Source organism: Homo sapiens, chromosome 4 (genome assembly GCF_000001405.40).
Source record: "Homo sapiens chromosome 4, GRCh38.p14 Primary Assembly".
In the NCBI taxonomy this organism is placed as follows: Eukaryota; Metazoa; Chordata; class Mammalia; order Primates; family Hominidae; genus Homo; species Homo sapiens.
In genome coordinates this window covers 74,050,035-74,072,762 of record NC_000004.12, presented here as the reverse complement: position 1 = coordinate 74,072,762, position 22,728 = coordinate 74,050,035, and the positions used below count along the sequence as shown (strand labels likewise).

General features: G+C 34.5%; 1 pseudogene across 1 annotated transcript, besides 2 other annotated features; it reads left to right on the top strand.

The window, feature by feature from the left end:
* Positions 14,870-15,054: a transcriptional cis regulatory region, noted in NCBI's record as "candidate enhancer chr4.1814 targeted for multiplex CRISPR interference". NCBI's record gives its function as "positively regulates CXCL2 and CXCL3 gene expression with high confidence in K562 cells {active_cell/tissue: K562}" and the evidence as "EXISTENCE:mutant phenotype evidence [ECO:0000015][PMID:30612741]".
* Positions 15,267-16,210: a transcriptional cis regulatory region, noted in NCBI's record as "candidate enhancer chr4.1813 targeted for multiplex CRISPR interference". NCBI's record gives its function as "positively regulates expression of the CXCL3 gene with high confidence and the CXCL2 gene with lower confidence in K562 cells {active_cell/tissue: K562}" and the evidence as "EXISTENCE:mutant phenotype evidence [ECO:0000015][PMID:30612741]".
* Positions 17,364-18,725, top strand: PPBPP2 (pro-platelet basic protein pseudogene 2; annotated as a pseudogene). The gene has a single exon (NR_026769.1). The product of NR_026769.1 is annotated as a pro-platelet basic protein pseudogene 2 (transcript).
* Positions 18,726-22,728: the final 4,003 nt, after the last annotated feature.

Below are 22,728 nucleotides of genomic sequence, written 5' to 3'. Positions count from 1 at the left end.
CTCTATTTTGTAAAATTTGTATTCTTTTTTTTACTTTTCTTATTTGTATATTATCTTGTTCCCATTGGCACACAGGTGTTCTTTATATATTCTGGATGTTAGAACCTTGTCAATTTTATAAGTAAAAAACTAGTTTTCCAATTTACAACTCATATAGTCTTTCTTTTTATAGTGTCTCCAGTGAACGTAAGTTTGTATTATTATTCTACTTGAATTTAGCAATATGCTCTTTTCTGATTAGCAACTTTGGTGTCTTCTTTCAAAAAGAAAAAAAAACTTCCCTTTACAGTTCATAAAAATATTCTTCTATATTATCTTCTAAAGTTTTCATAATTTTTTCTTTGTGTTTAAGACATGACTGTTTATGGAATCTATTTTTGTATTATGTGATGGAATTATCCAATTTTATTTTATTTTTCCACATGACTCATTAATTGTTACAGCCCTATTTAATAAAACATCATTTCCCTACTGATCGACAATGCTATTTCTGCCATAAATTGAGTTTTGCAACTGAAGTCCTGCAAGTGAAGGAATGTTTCTAATGTCTCTTTTCTGTCCCATTGATCAATTTGTCTATACATATACACAGTCTTCATTATTAATATTTTATAATAATTTTTAATATCTGGGATGGAAAATTCTTTCATGTTGTTCAAGAGTAGCCTGTCTTTTCTTAGACTTCTGCTCTTTCATATAAATCTAAGAAATAGCTTGCAAATTTGCACTGAATTAAATTATAATTTTGAATGGAATTTCTTTGAAGTTATAAATTAATTTTTAAATTATTGACATCTTTATCCTGCTGAGTTTTCCATTTTAAGAATACAAACTAACTGCCAATTTGTTGAGGCCTTATTTAATGTCTTTAAAGTTTCATGATTTTCTCCATAAAGTCATTCCATATTTTTTATTATAAAAAAAGATTTCTTGCCACTCTATATTGTTTGATGTTATTGTAAAGGGTATCTTTATAAAATATAACTTTCCATCTATTAGTGTTTAAACATAAAATTTTGTAGTAGTTTTGTAACCAACATTTAACTAGAGTAGTCATATCACCTGAGGATAATGACAGTTTAGTTTCCTTTTTTGGAAAACTTATGCCTTTTATTTATCTCTTTAGCTTTGCTGAGATGTCTGCAATAATAATATACACTCTTTTCTTGTTTTGGCCTTTAAAGGGATTACTTTCAAGATTTCATCATGTATGATATTTTGTGGCTATCCTTGTATTGGTTATTTGCTAAGGATTTATCATTGTATTATTATTAATTTTTATAATTGAATCTTGTTGTTTTCTTAAACCCTGGAATGTTCACCCCTGGCTCAGAGTGTGCTAAGATGATACAATCCTGGAGATGCTGGTGAAATTTTTTTTTTTAAAGATTTGGAAAAAAACAAAGGTTCCTATGGTTCAAAGTCAGCTTCATTAAAAATCTATATCCAAGCTATACGTATGTTTTAACAGCCTTTATGCTTATTCTTTTCTTACATCTTGTTCTTTTGAGAACAATCATTTTTGTTTCCTCTCAATCATCAGAATCGTTTCTCCAGTCTTTCTTCTTTCCACTGCTGATGCCCACAAGAGAGGATCTAAGGTAATTTCCGACAGCCTGGGACTTCTTGGGAAAAACCGAGGAGGAGCCACAGACCCAGTTTTGGGAAAACCCTCTGTTTTATCCTCATGGAACTCTAGGAATTGTAAGCAGATAGGTTTCTCTCAAAAATCTAAAGCTTTGCTCTATTTTACATTGTTACCCGACCTTTTGACTTTTAGGGGTGTCAGAGATTACTTTGCATTTTTGGAAAACTTTTAGCCTTGGTGTGTAACAGCTAGGATGTGCTTTTAGGGATGGCTAATGGCAGTTGCTTACAGTGAGTGGTTAATACTACAGGCCAATACTTCTTTCTTCTCACATTGAAATAAAAAAGCACGCTATTGGACATCTAAAAGGTATGGAATGGGGGATGGGCTGATTGCAGAATGGGCTAATTGGCTTTGGGCTGACCACCAGCCTTGGAGGAATGCCACTGCAGTGAAATCCATGGTAAAAGCATTGCACTGTCTGGTCGCACAGTGTTCCCCTCTTTTTGGGAATCCAGGATTGAGTACAAAAATGGGATCTTAATTTTTGGGAGTCTATTTTGCCTTCCAGCTGTGCTTGCTTCTTTGGCCCTAGAAACTGCATGCTTTAAAGAGAAACTTAAATACTGGCAAACGAAGAATCTTGTAACTACTGGTTCTTCTTCAGTCTGTGTATTTATATATGTTTTGTGTGTGATGTTTATGTAAAAGAGCTTTAATCCTTGGCTTAAAGAAAATAAGCACTTAAATAGTTTGTAAGAAAAAACCTTTCATGCCTTTTAGTTCACATGCCTCAAATAATCTTTTTAAAATAAAGACAATTTAAAGATTACCAGTAAAATAAAATAAAAATGTCTTCAAGATTTGGACATTTGATCTAAATTATATGGGTCAGACACTAGGCTTGCTAAATGCTTTAAAGTCATAAATTTTCTTTGATGACTTTTGATAATTGTTCAACTTACCTGCTTTGGAGCCATTAGATTGTAGATAAGGCCTGGGGACATACAGAATTTCCCATGACACCTAGCTATGCTGGAAAGAGCATGACTTTGCAGCTCTGTCCTGTATCCTAGGCTCTGCACCTGGTCCACAATTAAAATTGATTACATTATGTTGGGAATAGGCCCTCAAAATCTGGCCATAAACTGGCCCCAAAACTGGCCATAAACAAAATCTCTGCAGCACTGTGACATGTCCGTGATGGCCATGACGCCCATGCTGGAAGGTTGTGGGTTTACTGGAATGAGGGCAAGGAACACCTGGCCCACCCAGGGCAGACAACCACTTAAAGTCATTCTTAAACCACAAACAATAGCATGAGCGATCTGTGCCTTAAGGACATGCTCCTGCTGCAGATAACTAGCCAAAACCATCCCTTTATTTCAGCCCATCCCTTTGTTTCCCATAAGGAATACTTTTAGTTAATCTATAATCTATAGAAACAATGTTTATCACTGGCTTGCTGTCAATAAATACGTGGGTTAATCTCTGTTTGAGGCTCTCAGCTCTGAAGGCTGTGAGATCCCTGATTTCCCACTCCATACCTCTATATTTCTGTATATGTGTCTTTCATTCCTCTAGCACCACTGGGTTAGGGTCTCTCCAGGTGAGCTGGTCTCGGCAACATTAAAAAATAAAAATTATATGTTCTTGGTAGAAAGGCATGAGAATGTGTTTTTTTAAAAAAGAAAGTCATTTAGTCTAATTTAGAGGATTTAAGAAATAGGATAAAACTGAAGGTTTAAGCAAGTTGTAGAAGGTTTGTGAAACATTAACCTTGTAAAGAATTCTGTGTGTAAGTAAGTTGACCAAAATTATGAGTATTATTTATTTTTTCCATAAACTGAATATTAAAATAAAAGCACCCTGATGCAGGATAAGAATATTGGCCCCTGTGTCAGAATAACAGGGTTTTTTGAAACGTTGATCTGCTGTTTCATACAAAATTATAAAAGATTACAAAAGGTTTATGGAAATCTTACCTTATGGTCAAACAAATGAAAATTGGGTAATAGATAAGTTGATAAGGGTTTTATTAAAACTTAGCTTTAGCATTAATGATGAACTAATGCAAAAGTGAAATTCAATTTTCCTTTTTGAACAAGATTTTTGAATAATGAGAGACAATGAAATATTTTTGTTTGCCTTTTGAATAATTATATAAAAAATAAGGGAGAGAAAAGAGACACAGACTTTGGAAAGTAAGTATCCTCTTTATCAAGGAGTAAAGCTTTTTGCCTTTTTCAAATATCTGAGTTATCATTATGGCTAAATAAATGACTTACGATGTCCTGGAGTCCTATTTTATAATATCAAGTATCTTAAGCCATTGATGTTTGACAAGCTTTGCAAAATCAAATACTACATTAAATCTTTTTCTGACCTGATTAATCATTTTAGATATCAGGTCCCCTAAAGTCCAAAAATGGCATATTTGGCTTATTTGGTATATTAACATCATACAGGAAGCATTGCCAGATATAGAATGATATTTGGCTTCCTTTAGGCTGTATTTGTCTAAATGTGTTACTGGTATGTGTTCTAAAATTATGCAAAACTCCAATAATTCCGATATAACTTAGTGTACATTATCAGTAATAATTATAAATACTATATACAATTATTGTGTGCCACAGAGTAAATCATATTTCCTTGTCAATTGTGTCTTTAACTGTGGATGTCCTAAGACTTTTTTCATCCACAGACAATTTTTGTCTTGTTTTGATCCTCTTCAAAAGGTGGTTGGTAATCAGCTATAGGATTCTGATGAGTACTCTTAAGTGAAGGTCAGTGATAACTTTGGACAGTGTTCCATTAAAGTAGAGAGGAATAAAACCTTCCAGGACTCTCACAGAAAGCTAATATATCCATAAGGACTGTTGGTCCAATATCAGGCAAAACAAGAGTTAATAGCATGGACAAAACTGATAAAAGACCAAAATAATCTTTTAATAATTTTATTGCTTTAAACATTGATGAGCCTTTCTGCTTTATTTTTCAGAGTCAAGAACATTTTTCTTTTGACCTATTCATAGCTTTTAGCAATTAAGTAAGGTGTATACTCCTCTGAGCAAACTTTGGAGCACATTTCTTTTTCCCTACCTGATTTCTCCAGAATTTGGAAACGATTTGTGAGTATTCTTAACTTACGGCAATATATTTATCTGTATAAGTGCAATAAGAATCTGTTTCTTTTGTAGCAGGACACAGTTGGAGACACTGGTTATTTTACTTAAGGTGTTGACTGGAATGGCATGCTTTCAAATATGAATACACTGCTTTAAGGAATCAAAGTTGACTTACATAAACTATAAAAGCCCCTTGGGAAGCTGGCCTCATACCTTGTCTATGCAGTTACTGTATGGGTTCCTGATTTGTGGTAAATAAAAAATATCTCATTCTGACAGGCCCAGAAACCTCAAGTCATTCTGTGACCTCAAGAAGAGAGGAATTCACCCAACTCTTACAAATACAATTATTTGAAGGCACAGGTAAATCTGTGGCTGGACTCAGGGCTTTAAAATGTCTAATATGGGATTCCTTATAGAACAAAGTTTCATCAAAGCCAAATCAAACAAAGCCTACATGGCAAATAATTATTCTTCTTGCACTTTATACAAATAATCAGGCCAAGTATAACAATAAAACTAAAACTTATTTTGCAAACAAATCAGTCCTGCCATGATTTGTGTTTGGTAAAAATGGGAGTCTAAAGAGAGAACAATTATATTTCCAAAAAACTAGAATACACCTGTTGTTAGATTCTAGTCTTGTTTGTTGTTTGTGAGATTTTATCATTTTTTATGCAATTTAAACTGACAAGTCCCCAAACTAATGTCTTCAAATTTATCTTCTCTTTTTCCAACTAAACTAAATAAAATTATTACTATCTTTTCTTGAGGCTCTGTAAGCTAAAGCTTATTCCTTGTGAGACAGGTGAGAAAAATGTGTCAGACTGCCACCACCTTCCGCCTCTATAACTAAAGATGTTTTGAGACTAACATATGGATAGATTGTGTCACCATGAATCTTTGTTTTTCTTCTGTTCTCATAAAAATGTCTTTTATTGAAAATCTGTTTTGCTTTGTATTTCATATATCAGAAGACTGGTTTTCCAGTCTATTTACTAGATTCCAAATGGCATCTACACTTCTTATAAGCATTGTTCAACTGGACTTAAACATTTAATTATCACTAGGTGTTATTGGATTTTCCTGTTAAATAATTATTTGTTATGTTCAAGGGGGTTCAAATAGTTAAAGTTTATGTTTTCCTGACTAAAACTCTTCCAGAAAAATATGCCCAAGGGTATTTTCCCAAGGGTTCTAGCCTGTGCCACTGTGGGAAAGACCAAGTCTCTATAAATTATTACATCAGGTAGTGAGAGATTTCTGTATCTCCAGAGCAGATAGGCGTGACAGTCCCTGTTCAGAATGAAATCGTTATAGATGGTGAAACCTCTGTCCTTTTCCAATCCCTTAAGATTAAGGGGGTGTATTTAATCTCTGAGGTGGGGATGAGATAAGAGTTTGGCAGGACTGCTTTCACAAGGTACAGGTCACAAAGATCCTACTGGTAAAAGAGGTTGTGGTAAAGAAGCTGGTCAAAATTCCCCAAAACCAAGAAGGCAAAGAAAGCAACCTTTGGTTGTCCTCACTGCTCATTATACACTACCACCAGCACCATGACAGTTTACAACTGCCATGGAAATGCCTGGAAGTTACCCTGTATAGTCTGAATAGGGGTGGAACCCTGAGTTCTAAATTCCTGGGCCCTGTCCTGGAAAACTCATGAATAATCCATCCCTTGTTTAGCATATGATCAATAAATAACCATAAAAGTAGGCAACTAGGAGCACTCGGGGCTGCTCTGCCTGTAGGTAGTCACCCTTTTATTCCTTCCTTTTCTTAATAAACTTGCGTCCATTTTACTCTGTCAGGTTGCTCTCAAATTCCTTCCTGCATGAAGCCAAGAACTCATGAGGTCTCCCAGGCTGAACCCCAATTTTGGGGTTCTCCCTGTGACCCAGATTTTCTAAAGTCTTAGCACTATCTCTTGTACATAAGTCCAATAACGTGTGCTGACTGGTTGATATCTGAAAAGATTCTAAAAAAGACATTATTATTTAATTGATTAAAAATATAGCTGTGCACACTCATGTGCCTAAAAGTCATACTCTAAACATATTATAAACACAGTTTGAGAAATCGAAGTATTCATTTTCAGCATATGCATTTCATGTTTCAAAAATTTGAATGAATAAATGTAAAGCATTGTTAAATTAAGTATAGTTGTTATTTAGCCAGGATACTTTCTTCTTTTCAGAGTCAGACTGAAAGATGGGAAATTAATTTGTTTGGATCCTGAGGCTACATGGGTGATGACTAACTATTATCAAAGAGATTATGGACAGGTATAATTAATGCCAAAAATTATCATATTCACTTTCTTTTTCTCTTTCTTTTCTTTTAATTAAGGATATATTTATAATATATACAGACTCTGTTTTAGGTTAGAATAAAATTAAAATAAGATTAGAATAAGTCCCTTCCAGAGAATCCAAAGAGTAGTCCCAAGAACAGCGTCAACTGGGAACTTCATAGAAATGCAAATTCTCAGGTCTCACCTCAGAGCTATTCAATCATAGATCGTGGGGTTGAGCCAAAAAGTCAGTGTTCTAAGAAGCCCTCAAGATGACTCTAGTGCACTCTCAAGTTTAAAACCATTATCAGTCCACACCTTCCACTTAACATGATATCCAGGTTGAACTGTGTTTAAAATATCCCCACTGAAGATGTAAACATGAAAGTATCTGAGACAGGTCTTCATCAATTTAGAAGTTTATTTTGCCAAGGTTAATGTCACTCATCTGTGGGACAGGTCCGTGCATTTTTCCAAAGATGATTTTGAGGGCTTTAATGTTTAAAGGCGAGAGAGCCTGGAGGGGTCAGAGAGAAGGCACGGTCACATTACTGACCCCACATATTGCAAGAGAAAAGTAGCAGTTACGGAAATAGTCAACTTTGTATTGGTCTGATGCTCTTTATAAGATAAAGTAAACATAGAGTAGCTACCCATGGTGGTATTTAACTTTTTATTTGTACCTTTCTGCTTAGGAACAAAAGGAAAGGCAGCTTCTTGCATGACTCACCTTTCAGCTTAATTTTCTTTTCTTTTGGCAGAGTAAATTGGGGTCCCAAGATTTCATTTTCCATTCACATTTTCCCCTCTTTTTACAATTTTTCTGAGAAAGCATTTTGGAAGAAAATTAGTATCTAATCTTGGGTTTTGTCTGATCTCTCGTTGCTAGGATGATTTATTCCTAGACAAATAGGCCCAACATTGTTAGAAAAGCTCATTTTCAGCAGTTTTTGAAGTCTCACGTCCTACAAATAAAAAATAGGAGGAGGGAGGAAAAAAGAAACAACAAACAAACATAAAAAAGAAAACAATCTTGGAAAACTGATATAGGCCATACTACTTTGAAACCCATACATCAGTAGACAGGTATGAAAGCAATTTATGTATACAAATAGGTTGTTGATATTTTCTTCTGAGGTTTAAGTTGTCTAGTTTCAGTTCACAGGGCTTTAAGAGAAGCACAGTGATTTCAAATCAGGAAAAATCAGAAAAAAAGGAAAAGAAGGAAAAAATTGAAAACATTATTTTGGAGATTCACAGACAGGAAATATTTTAGAATTATGTCCAAATAACAGGTGCACTGTATATTACTCTGAAACATGGTTTTACTCTAATTCCCCAATTTTACTAAAGATAAAATCATAGTAGGAACAATGTATTGCAAAATAAGGTTTAGTCTTATTATACTTGGCCTGATTATTTGCATAAAATGCAGGAAGAATAATTATTTGCCACATAGGCTCTTTTAAGATAGGCTTTTATGAATCTTCGTTCCATAAGGAATCTTAGACTAGATTTTTTAAGCCTGGAGTCCAGCTATGGATTTATCTGTCCCTGCAAACATCTGTATGAATTGGATGAAATTCCTCTTCTTTCAAGGACCCAAGATAATTTGGGGCTCCAGGACCTTTCATAAAGTGACGTTGTTTACTTACTACAGGTCAGGAATCCTGTACAGGGATTGCACAGACAATGTATGAGGCCAGTTTGCCAAGGGGCTATTACTGGTTCTGTAAATAAACTTTGATTCCTTAAAGGAGTGTATTCATAGTTGAAAGCCTCTCATTCCAGTCAATGCATTTGTAAAAATTACTAGTGTCTCCAATTTTGTCCTAAAACAGATTCTTGTTGTATTTATGCTGATAGCTATATTGCCTTAAGAATACTCTAATAGTTTCCAAATTCTGGAGCAATCATGTAGAGAGAAAGAAACGTGCTCCAAATTTTGCTCATAGGAATATATCTTACTCAATTGCTGAAATCTATGTATACCTCAAAAGAAAAAAAGTTTTACTGACTCTGAAAAAGAAAGCATAAAGGATCAGCAACATTTTAGGCAAAAACAAAAAAAATCACAAAATGATTATTTAGGTTGTTTTAATCACTTTAGTCCATGTTACTAACTTTTGTTTGGCCTGATATTTGACCACCAGTCCTTATGAATGTATTAGCTTTCTATGAAGTCCTGAAAGTGTTTTTTTTCTCTATTCCAACGGCACAATCTCTAAATTCATTAGAAACCTATATTTAAGGTACTTCTCAGAGCTCTATAGCTGATTATAAACTGCCACATAAAAGTATCAAAGTGAAACAACAATAGTGGATGACCAAAGTCTTAGAACAATCATGACTGAAGACACAATTTACAAGAAAATTTGATTATTTCTGTGACATAAAACAAATTTGCATAATAATTGTAATTACTACTTATAACATATACTAAAGACATATGAGAATCACAGGAATCTCAATTTTGAAAAACATACAATAACACATTTATAGAAATAGAAATCAGAGGATGTTAAGCACCATTTTATATGTGACAATGCTCCCTGCATGATTTTATTACACCAAATAAGCTAAATATATCTCCTTTGGACTTTGGACTTCAGGGGCCCTAACATCAAAAAGTTGGCAGTGAAATGGTGAGTAAAATGTTTTCTTTTTCAAAACTCATATCAATAGAGGCAGAAAAAGTGAGTGGCTAGATAACTACTACTAAGTTTCATGTTGTTTCAATCCTTTTTACCAATATACAAAATATAATGGTTTTAAAATTTGGCTGCATTAGTTAGCATTCTTCCTATTGGAATTTTCATGGGACCTGATAAGAGTGTTTATCTTGAGAAAGCCCTCTGGGGAACTCTGTATTCAATGCTGTCCCAGGAAGACAGTAGCACCCCAGGTTCTTAGGACAGAAACAAAATTGTCACATCAAAGAAAGTATTAAGGACTATAATACCAGAGGAAGAAAAATGGGAAAGGAGGCAGAAATAAATGAAAGCTCATAATAGGAGAATGCCTAACCACACTGGCCAATTGCTGTGCACAAATCAGTTCTTGACCTCACAAAGGGGCTGTTTTGAGTGTTTGCTTTCTTCTTCTGCAGAAATTGTGAAACCAACTCAAACCAAGAAATTGGAGTTGTTGTGTTTAAAGTAGAGAAATAAATCACCCCAACAGCAGGGCATCAGCCTCTGACTTCTCTTCCTCTGCTATGCTTAAAATTAAAACCTGGAATCTGGATCCATCGGCTCTAAAGCTGAAGAGTCTACTATACCACATCCAGGACCTCATGTTCACCTGTGAAGAGGTTAGTACTACTACTGACATTTTTGTCCTTCACATTAAAAGTGATAAATCTTTCCTTTTTTAGTGTAAGTTAGTTGGAATTGTTGCTGTTGCTTTAAAAAATTCCCTAAAAAATGAAGCCAGATCACATGGAGAGGAAATAACAAATCAAATGTTGAGACTGGGGACTAACCCCTTGGCAGCCAGACAGGAATTTGGTTCAAAACTTGAGAGCTCACACACAAAAAAAACAGTCTTCTCATTTTATAGATGGGACTGTGAAGGCTCAGAGACCATCGCAGAGTTGTCAAATATCACAAAACTATTTTATTATGAAAATGGGTTAGAATTCAGTTTTCTGATATTTAATATAGGGTGATTTTCATTAAAGTAGATTATTTTCAGACTGCTGAGGAGTGTTGGCTTGTATCTTGGTCATAAGATTAGCTTTGTAAAATTTGTATAACCAATCTCAGGGTACTAATTAATAACTAGCAACCATTCATGTTATGAGCCACTTTATGATAGTCTAAAGATAATATTGTGCATTTTTAGATAATATTGTGCATATTTAGCCAACTAACTAAAATTATTTAGATAACTTTAAAGATAATATTGTGCATATTTAGCCAAATAACTAAAGTATAAAATGTGTTCAGCCACTTTATGTAGCCTGCTGAGTTACTCTGTCAGTTACCTGTTGTCTCCCCAAAATGCAGTGAGTTAAAATAAACCACCATTTTATTCTGGTTCATGTCTCTAAGGGTCATTAATTTGGGCTATGTGGTACTACAACTTGGGCTGGGCTCAGTTGGTTGGTTCTTCTGATGGTGTCTCTTTGGGTCACTCATGGGGTATAGTTAGTCTCCTGGTGACTGAGTGGGCCTTTCTCATTCATGTGTCTGGTTGGTGGCTGGGCCTAGTGCCTTTAGCAGGTGAGCTTGGCTGTCTTCATATGGTGGCAGAAGCATTCCAAGAGGGCAGGAGTAGAAGCTCCTAGGCTCCTTGCCTTTTTGACCTGGAACATCTACAACATCACTTTTATCACATCCTATTGGCCAAAGCAAGTCATACGGTCAACATAGAATCAAGGGGCCTGGAAAATAGATTCTACCTTTTAAAATGAGGAGCTGCTAGGAATGTTTGACTATTTTAAATTATTCACCATTCTGATATTCTGATAGTTCTATATCTTGTTTATAAGTTAGAAATACCCTTTGTAAAGTTTCTGGATAACAAACAAAAATTCATAGAGCAATGTTGACACAAAGCACAGTACAATAAACAATTGTTATGATTATAGCACATTGGATCTCAGTGTAAGTAAATATTTTATATAATAAAACATATTTATGTACTTTCTTTTTATCATCATAATGCCGTATGCATTGATAGCACAACATTTTATTACCTTTATTTGGTACGGAGGGAAAATGAGATTCAAGGAAATCAAGGTTGTCTCTGAATAATACTTATAGCTTATTTGCAGCTTTTTGATTTGCACAAAGGCGAAGTTGTGATCAGTCAATTAAATGTTTTCAGGTTATTAATACATCTCATTTTAAAATTGAAATAGCTTTTCTCCCCTTCCTTAACATACTTAGATCTTCTTTGTGCCACTTTATGCATTTCTCTGTCTCAAATGCATATCAGCCTTTTTTTTTTTTAAAGTGATGAGTTTTCTTTTACCTTTTCACCAGTTCAATGTTATGTGCCCTATAAGGTCTCCCCTGACTGCCATGGGGAAAGTCTTCCTTCCTCATAGCCTCCATAATGTCTCTGGTATACAACTATTATAACACAGATCACCTTCTAGTTTAACGTGTTTACATGTCTGTCTCTTAAAATAGACTGTGAACATCTCAAAAGCAGAAACTCAATTGTTATTATCTTCAAATACTTAGTGTCAAGCAAGGGCCCTGGCAGGTAATAGATGCTCAATGAGAATTAGCAAAAGAAAGATGTTATTATTTGGGCAAGTTTTGCTTTCAGAGTGTATCAACTCTCCAGTAATCACCAGTTCTTCAGTTAAATGCTGTTTTGAGTTGAATTATACCTCAAATTTATACATTGAAATCCTAACTCCCAATACTCCAGAATGTGATCTTGTTTGGACACAGGATCCTTAAAGAGGTAATCCAGTTAAATGAGGTTATTATGGTGAGCCCCTAATTCAATATGGCCTGTAACTTTATCAAAAGAGAAAATTTGGAGACAGATATGCATACAAGGAAAACACCATGTAAACATAAAGATGACCATCTACTAAGCAGGTAGACATACCTGGAACAACTTCTTCTCTCATAGTCCTCAGAAAGAAACAACCTGTCAAACCTTGATTTTGGACTTCCAAGCTCCAGAACCTTAAGATAAAAAAAAATTCTGTTGTTTAAACCATCTAGTCTATGATACTTTGTTATGGTAGCCCTAGAAAACCAATTAAAATGTTTTGTTGTTTGATTTTTTTAATGCAAAAATTAAAATGTGGTCACTATGGGATAAGTAAGGTCACTTATGAAACTGCTTAAGAAACAAAATCACAGCTCATAGGTCACTCTTAATTAATTAAACTTCAAGCCCATGGAAACAGCTGTCTTGAAACAACAAGTAAATGGTAGTTTGCAGTTTTTGACAGGAAAAAAGTCATAGTCTGAACTTGAATTCTCTGCAGCATATCTAAGCTGTACATATACTTTTAGTTTGACAAATTCTATTAATAGTTTAAATGGGATTATGCAAATAGGTACAAAATACAAAAGCAAGTACTCTCTGAGGAAGTGTGTCTTAATTCCCTGCTTTGTACAAACATGTCATTGGTAAAGTTGCATAGATATTCTCAAGACTCCATTTTGTAAGTCACCATTAACCACAACTGGCATTGACTCCTTCTCAATTATGCAGTTTCACCCCCAGGACGTAATAGACTCGTTTCTCTATTCAACAAACTCATCTCATCATGTCCCTAAAACCCCAATTAAAACAATGATTGAAAAACAAACTCAGTGTCTTTATTGGCTTATAAGTGACAAGCAAGCTACTTGATAAACTGTAACTTTTGTTCTTTAGTGGGGAGAGAGTAGGAGGAGAGCAATAAACCATTCTCAGGGTTGTAGAGAGCACATGCAGGTGGGCTGCAGTATTGATTCCACCATTTAGACCAGGATCAAGATCAAGTACAGACATGGGTATTCAGAACTCACCAGCACTCCTCCTGATGGCTGTCATTGTGTTTGGCACATTTGGTAAGCCAGCTATGGCTCTTATCTTTTCCTTCTAGGCACTGGAAAAACTCAGAAAAGTTTCCAGATGTAAAGAGATTGTATTTAGAATTAATCAAAGTGTATAAACTGTGAAATTAAAATGTAAGTAGACCTATATAGTATTTAGATTGTGGAGTGTCAAATAACTTTTTGTTGAATCAAATGAAAATATCTGTTTAACTTCCTAGAAATATCTGGCTCTAAGAGTCTATACTTTTCTTATTAGAGATGATAGAAAGAACATTACTAAAAATAAGTTTCATATAAAATATCTCATCTTAGGAAAAGTAAGAAAAGGAAAGAAAGACTAACCCTATTAGTATGTATATACATACACTCAAACTGCAGTTGGATTAATGTTATATATATTTATATTAGTATGGATTTGCAAAAGTTAGTATAAGCTATGAGTCTTTACAACAAAGCACTGTTAAATGTATACTTTGTATATGTTTTCTGTCAGTTACATAGGTACTACCAAAATGTATGATGTATTTTCCTTCATATAAACATTCATCAATCAAATATTTATTGATATTAATTAATAATCTTGTTATATATCTGACCCTGTGCAGAATCCTTATCATCTAGAAATTACAAAGATAAGAGCTTTAGGTCTAAGTTAAGATCTTTTTGCAGAAAATATACTCCATTTTCACACAGAAACTAAAGATTTTTCAGTAAGGGAAAGGGATCAAAAAAGGGGAGGAGAAGTGAGAAGGGCTAGAAGACAGAAGAGAGGAGAGAAGGAAGAGAGGAGGAGGGAGTTGGAGGGGCTTATGTTGTCTTTTTTTTCTTTCTAATTTGTTACTGCTTTCCTTTTCCTTCTTTTCTCTCTCCTTCTCTTATCTTTTCTCCTTCCTTCCCACCATGCCTTATTTCTGTTTATTCATGGAAGTAAAATAATTGTACTTAAAAAAGAGGCGGAGAAGGACCCAAGTACCCCAGGGGAAATCTCAGCCAACAGCCAACACCAACCACCTCCCATGTGAATGAGGCCATTTTTTATTTTTAACCATTTCAGTTGCTTCCGACTGCGCTCACTGAAGTGAGCTTAACCGAAGAACCTCACATTAACATGCAGATATATCAGAAATAATATATTTATTTTAAGCCACAGAAAGTAAGGTTGACTTATTACAAATAAAAGAGGATTAATGGTACTTGGTAACAATTGAATGTGTTTGCAGGCTCTAGAACAACATTATGCTAGAATTTCCTCAAATGAATGAGTATGTAGAGAAACTGTGTACCTTTCATACATTTGAGATTCAATAAATGGCATTTATCAACATAATTTAAAGTATAAATTCTGAAGCCTGCAAAACTTTGAAGTACTTGTATGTAATAGTACCCAGAAAGATACTTCCCCCTCAACTCCTTCACCCTCCCCACTCTCCTCCCACTTTCAGCCCATGCTTCACCTGTGGGCAGTAGACAGTAAAACCTCAATTAACTTGAGTGCCAGAGTAATTGACATCTGAACAATTCTTATCAACTAACAGTTACACAGAAAGCACGTTTGGTTTCAGCACTTATAGAAAATCTTTTGCTGGTTAATATTTTAATTTATTGATTAAGATACTTTAACAAACTTATAGAAAATTGTACTATCCCTAAGCATTTTCTGAAGCAATTGTTTTTGTGATTAATTTGCATTTGCAGGTGGCAGTCTATTTCCTTCATACTTGAAAGGATTTGGGAAAAGTGTGTTAAGAATGTGCTGTGTGAGGCAGAAAAGAGCTAGTCTATGTCTGAATTTTATGAATAGTGGTCCTGCAGTGTCTCTAGATAATTTTGTTTTAAAATAGCTAACATAAGATGTGCTTTAGGTCTTAGATAACTTGCTTGTTTCCTGAATGACTCTGCATTTATATGACTTAAAGCGAAAAGAGATAAAATAACTTACCTCCTGCAATATACACACATACACAAAGCCACAGTGACAATGCAAGATTTATAAAAAGGCTGTGAAGTTATTTTAAAACCAAAAAACCTGACTTTTTTTCTACTTCTAGCATTTATTTAAATCATAATTTTGTATAAGCTAATTGCTTTCAACTGAATTACTCATTTAAAAAATATCTTTTAACCATTTTTGTACAGTTTATCACTGTGTGTATAGTGTTTCTGATCTTGGAAATTGAAGGGAATGATGCAAATGATAGTAATAGCAGTTAACAGTAGCAGTTGTCATCATTGTCGTAATAGTAGAGTATGACTCATAGCCCATTACTTTGCACAAAGTTTTTAGGCCTCGCTTTTAAAAAAGAAATAGTTAAAATGACTAAGTCATGCAAAGAAGCGAACTTCATAAAGCCTGGCACATAATTGATGCTTAATCAATATTTTTTGAGTTAATGAAAATTAGCAAAAAGTTGTTTTATATTAAAAGCTGACTAATAGGCTTATACAATTTTGATGACTCATGAAATTTGTTACTACTTCCTCATGACCCTTGCTGATGATGTGTCTTTTGTGACAAGCCACATTTGCTGATTAAGGCAATTACTCAAAGATACTGTGATCCATGCCTACCTCTTTCCTACTGTCAACTCACTCAAAAACATCATTACTTCAGGAGACTTTTCCTGTAGTTTCCTCAAAAGGATTAGGAACTTTTTGGAAATCTTACTAATGAACGAGGAAAGAAATCTGCATAGGGTTAGTATGGAAAGAAAAAAAGTGTCCAGTGAAGCTAATAAATATTCTCAACAATGTGTTTAAGGGGTTGAACAGAAAATGAAAGATACTATGAATAGTGCTAAAGACCTTTATATCTTGCTCTGGAGATAGCTTTGATTTTATGATTGAATGAAAATGTATCTGACTTGAGAATTCACAATATCTCAATCTCAATAACAAGAAAAGGTTGTAAAGTCATCCTGCAGGAGGAGCTAGAAAGAAGCCTGTTCTCCTCATTCTGTGTCCTGCTGAGCTTCTCTTTGCTATTGACTCCATATCTCAGCTCTCAGAAGAAGCCAAACTCTCAGCTTGTGCCCTTCTTTTAAGCTTGCTTAAGACTAGACAGTTCTGTGTTGAGATGGGAAGAAAAATTATTTTAGTTCAATATTTTCTACTGCTAAACTCTAATTTATAAGAAAAAATTAAGTAGGGTGGAAAAAATAAGAAATACATTTATCTACTGAAATTATTTCTGTGGAGGCATAAATAATTTTAGAAAAGTTTATTGAAAGCCAAATGGGAAGACAGACCTGGAAAGACACATCAACAAAGTTGGGGGTGTTCTAGAGTCTTTCATAAGCTAAAAGGGCTTTATGGGAAAGTTTAGAAGAAGAGAGGAAGGCTCCTCATACCAGAGTTGTCCTCTTTTTCATCGGAGGATAAAATAAAGGAGTTACAATCATTAGATTACTACATACAGGCTAAATGTCTACGTGCAAAACAATCAGAAAACTTCTTGTTTCAGTGTAACTTAGAAATAAATCATGGTCCTATTCAGTGTCATCAGGTTCTACATTAATCAGTACGTCAACAATCTGAGGAACTCATAATAAAATGCTTTACTCAGAGATAGAATGTCAACATCAAGTCACCAAACCTTTCCAAGGTGGGTTAATTTGGAAGTCTGCTTACTTATAATGTAAACTGTAAAATGTGACCTGTAGGTTATCACACTTAAAAACAGTTCCAAATAACTTCAGTAGGCATAGTGAATAATTGTTCAACAATAAGAAAAATTGGCTTGAAAACTAAAAAAAAAAAAAAAAACAAAAGAGAGAATGAGTTTTGTTTGTAGTTTCTTGATAAAATTATAAAATTTATTTCTAAGGCAGAAAGAATTCAGTAAGCTAAAATCCAAAGTAAGCCTCTGATGATAATTGGCTCTTATTTTATCCATACGGTCCCAAAGAACATCTGCTGTCTTTGGCGCAGGGCCATATATTTGTGGTTTCAGGTGCCCCTAAAGTGTCTATAGGAGCCTATAAACAAAGCCTATAAACTGTGTTGTAGGAAAGACAGCACATATTGTTACAGGCTCATACAAAGAAAATATATGTAGTGTTTCAGTCTAGTTCTTACCTTCCTAAGTAGAGTCCTTACACATGTGTAAGGGAGATAGGTATTGAGAAAGGGAGAGTGGGAATGTGAAGTGATGCATAACATGCAACTTAGTAGGAATTTTGACCTGTGTTGGGCACAGCTTGACAAGCTTGTGTGTGTGTATCACCACATACCCTCACTTCCCCCTTCCCTACCTCTTTCTCCTTACTGACTTCAAGGGAGAGCATATAAATGACATCAAGGGGTATGAAAAGCCACTTAACTGCAGACTTGTAGGCAGCAACTCACCCTCAAGAGGAAGTCTTCAGGCTCTAGAAACATCTTTAACTTCGGCTTCTGCACCATAAGCCTCAGACTCAATGCCACCCTGCAGCTGTGCCAGATCACTTTGTGCCCTGCAGGTGCTGCTGTTGACTGTTCTGGGTTCCTCCACCAATGGACAAACTAAGAGAAACATAGGGAAAAGGAAATGTAGAGATCTGTTCCTTGCACCTGTTGCTGCTTCTGCTATACCTGTATCTGGGAGAAAGACTGGCTTGGTGCTCCTGGGGCTGGAGAGTGCCATTATAACAACAAATCCAAGTGGAGGGGTCACAGAGAGGGGGCACTTCACATTTGCTGGGCATTCTGCTGGGCACTTTACTAAAGCTTTACAGATCATATTCACAATGGCTTTATGAGAGAGGTACAATTACCTTCAATTTACAATTGAGAGAACTGAGAAAAATATTCACGACCACTAATAGATCACTTTTTACCCCAGCTGTAAGTGTAGACAGTGACTTGTACACTGAACTGCGCTGCGTGTATGTGAAGTCAACCTTTGTACTTCATCCCAGAAACATCCACAATTTGGAGTTGGTCTCAGCAGGACCCCATTGCAGCAAAGACGAAGTAATGTAAGCCACTGCTTCTGTGCTATCGCCTCATCAGGGAAGCCCTCTACCTCCATCCCCATCTGCATTCATTTCCTCCAGTCTCACAGATCCTTTCTGATATTCAGGCCAGGACACCCACAGATAATTCTATTCTCTCTTGCAGAGCCACTCTGTAAGATGGGAGAAAAAATCTGCCTGGACCCAGATGCTCCCAGAATCAATAAAATTGTACAGAAAATGTTGAAAGTTGATGAATTCATCTGGTTAATTTGTTAACTTTCTGCTAACGCTTTTCACTGGAAGGGGAGGATTTTGAAGTCTTGACTTTCTCAGATTCTTATTTATCCAGGATACTTATTCTTACTGTATTAAAATTTTGATCTAAGTTCTATTCTGTTTCAAAAATCTCATTTTATTCTGAGAATGCTGGATAAAAGATAACAGAAAGAAGGTGAAAATAAGCAAGCCATGCTTCAATATATAATATATGTTTTACCCCCAATCCTTGGCTAAACATTGTAGTGCACTTTCCCTTTATTTATTTGAAAATTTCTATTGAAACACATCTTTGTTGATTTTTCCAACCCCACTCTACTGTAAGACTAGACATGCTGATGATAATAAACAGATTTAATAATGGTTAATGATATTAGGAATCACACAGAGCCCAGCGCAAAATACTTGCTCAATAAATTTTTGTTAGTATGTTCAGGAACTTAATAGGGTCTTTTAGTGTCTTAGTGCTATTATGTCTTGCTTAAAACATCTTCTGAAAGTTTCTTCTGATGTTTGTTTTAGCCTTCAAACCCTAAAAATAATAAAGTTGTAGAATGTAAGTCTTGTGAACTCTGCTTTTTTACTTTAAAGTGTATATATTTACCCCTGGTAGAATAAAAAATAGATGATGGAAATGAATTAATGTATCCCATTAAAAAACCTGTGATATTTTTTGAAACAAGAAAGAAAGAAAGGAAAAAAAATTCTTGAGGTTAAATGTTTTACCCTGACATGTTTGTATATATTAGCATTTAGTTAACATCTACATGGTTACAATTCTAGCATTAGTATTGACCTTGTAAGTAAGTACAATGTAGAACTTAACCTTTACTAGACTACTAATTCTTTTTTTAATCAACAAAATTTCCATTCATTTCTTAACCCCTAAAATTTATACCTACAAAATTTTCATTAACAAAATTAATTTTGTTACTACAAAAGTATTAACATAAGAATAACAATTTCTATTTATTTGTTGTTATATATTATTAATTTGAACATAATTGCTGTGGATAAAAGCTTTACTTCTTCCCTTCTCGTTTTGTTTCACACTTTGGTATTTCACAATATGGCCAACAAAATTCACAAGTTATGATCTGTATCATTCTTTATATAGCATGATAATAGTTCAAATTTATTAATCACTTTTAATATGCCAAGCATATAAAGTGTTTTGCATGCAGGAATAAACAATTTTATGAGATAGTTATGACCCAGCTAAAAGCACATCCTCTCCAGTCAGAATAATGGGCTAACCTGGCTCCACCACTTGCAAGTTCCGCAACAGCTATTGGGTTGGATGCAGATGCTCAAAAATGCAGTACTTAATAATAGGACTACATTCTGAGAAATGCCTCATTAGGTGATTTTGTCATTGTTCGAACACCGTAGTATGCACTTACATAAATCTAGATGGTATAACCTATTGTACACCTAGTGTAGTATAGGGGACATTACAGATACAACTAATGATGTTTACAGCCAAAGTAATCACACAGACTATGGTACTCCATGCACCCAGAATCAAAGCCAAAGTACTTGACCCACCAAACACCATAAATACATCTTCAGAAAAAAGTTATCCCCTACTAAAGAAAATTCCAAAATAGGAAAATTTCCTTTTATACCACATACCCAGAAATCAATATAAGGATACAGGAAACATAAAAAAGCAAGAAAATATAACACCTCAAAAGGAAAACATTAATTCTCTAGCATATATCTTGATCAAAAAGAAATTTTCAAAGTTCCAAATAAGGAATTCAAAATATTGATTTTTTAAGGATACTCAGTGATATTTTCGAGAATTCTGAAAGACAATAGAAATAAATTTTTAAAAATCAGAATGCAAATGATAAATTTACTGAAAAGGTAGATATTTTTAATACAAACCAAATAAAAAGCTTAGAACTTAAGAATTCATTAAAGGAAATATAAAATACGTTTAAAAGTGTCAATAATAGGCTAGCTCAAGCAGAAGAAAAAATGTTAAAATTTGAAGACAGGCCTTTTGAAATAATTCAGTTAGATAAAAATAAAGAAAACATAATAAAGAAAGAGCAAAGGCTTTGTGATATTTGAGACAATATAAAATGAAAAAATAAACAAATTATCAGTATACCTGAGGGTGAAGAAACAAAGAAAAGATTAGAAAATCTATTCAATGCAAAAATAGATGAAAATTTCCAAATCTAGCAAGAGATTTAGACATTCAGATTCAGGTGGTTCAATGTGCCCAGACAGATAAAATGCAAACAGGTTTTCCCTATGGGTGTCTAAAGTCAAAGTTAAAAACAAATTCTAGAAACAGCAAGAGAAAAGTGTTCAGCTACCTATAAAGAAAACCCCATCAGACTAACAGTGGATTTCTCAACATAATACTTCCACATCAGAAGAGAATGGGAAGATATACTCAAAATGTTGGAGGAAAAAATCTTCCACCCAAGAATACTACATCTAGCAAAATTTTCCTTTATAAATGAAGGTGAGATAAAGTCATTCACAGAGAAACAAATGCTGAAGGATTTCATTACCACTAGACTAGCTCTGAAAGAAATACTCAAAGGAATTCTAAAGCTAGAAGTGAAAGGGTGACATTTACCATCATGAAAACACACTAAACTATAAAACTCACTGGTGAAGCAATCATACACAAGAGGAAGGGAAAGGATGCAAATGATAACACTACAGAAATCCACCAATCCACAAGAGAAAACTATAAGACAAAAAGAAAGGAACAAAGAATATATAAAACAAGCAAAAAATAGTTAACAATATGACAGGAACATAGCCTCATATATCAATAACAACCTTGAACATAAATGGATTAAATTCTGCTCTTAAAATATATAGAATGGCAGAATAAATTTAAAAAACATGATTCAGCTATATACTGCTTACGTGAAACTCACCTTGCCAGTAAAGCCACATACAGACTGAAAGTAAAGAGATAGAAAAGCATATTACACGCAAGTGAAAACCAAAATCAAGCAGAAGTAGCTATACTTATATAACAGAGACTTTAAGTGAAGAACAGTAAAAAAGACAGAGAAGATTATTATTATTATTTTTGAATTCTGTTTATTTGTACAAACATAATGTAGTATTTATCTATATAAACGTGTTCCATTTTATTATAGTCTCTGAGGGTCCTAAAGAACAAACACTTAAAAAATGTTTGGACAGTTTGTTATCTATAGTCACTCAACTCAAATGTAAATAATTGCCATTTGTTTGGGTGCTTAAATAGCACTTAATTTTGATTGGTAATGAATAACTCAATACTTAGTTAATTGTGTATCCACTGGCAATTCTGAACTTTCATTGGTCTGTGGTTTTTTTTTTATTATTATTATACTTTAAGTTCTAGGGTACATGTGCACAACGTGCAGGTTTGTTGCATAGGTATACATGTGCCGTGTTGGTTTGCTGCACTCATTAACTCATCATTTACATTAGGTATTTCTCCTAATGCTATCCCTCCCCCCTCCCCCTACCCCACGACAGGCCCTGGTGTGTGATGTTCCGCTCCCTGTGTCCAAGTGTTCTCATTGTTCAATTCCCACCTATGAGTGAGAACATGCAGTGTTTGGTTTTCTGTCCTTGCAATAGTTTGCTGAGAATGATGGTTTCCAGCTTCATCCATGTCGCTGCAAAGGACATGAACTCATCCTTTTTTATGACTGCATAGTAGTACTCCATGGTTTATATGTGCCACATTTTCTTAATCCAGTCTATCATTGATGGACATTTAGGTTGGTTCCAAGTCTTTGCTATTGTGTGAATAGTCCTGCAATAAACATACGTGTGCATGTGTCTGTATAGTAGCATGATTTATAATCTTTTGGGTATATACCTAGTAATGGGATGGCTGGGTCAAATGGTATTTCTAGTTCTAGATTCTTGAGGAATTGCCACACTGTCTTCCACAATGGTTGAACTAGTTTACACTCCCACCAACAGTGTAAAAGCATTCCTATTTCTC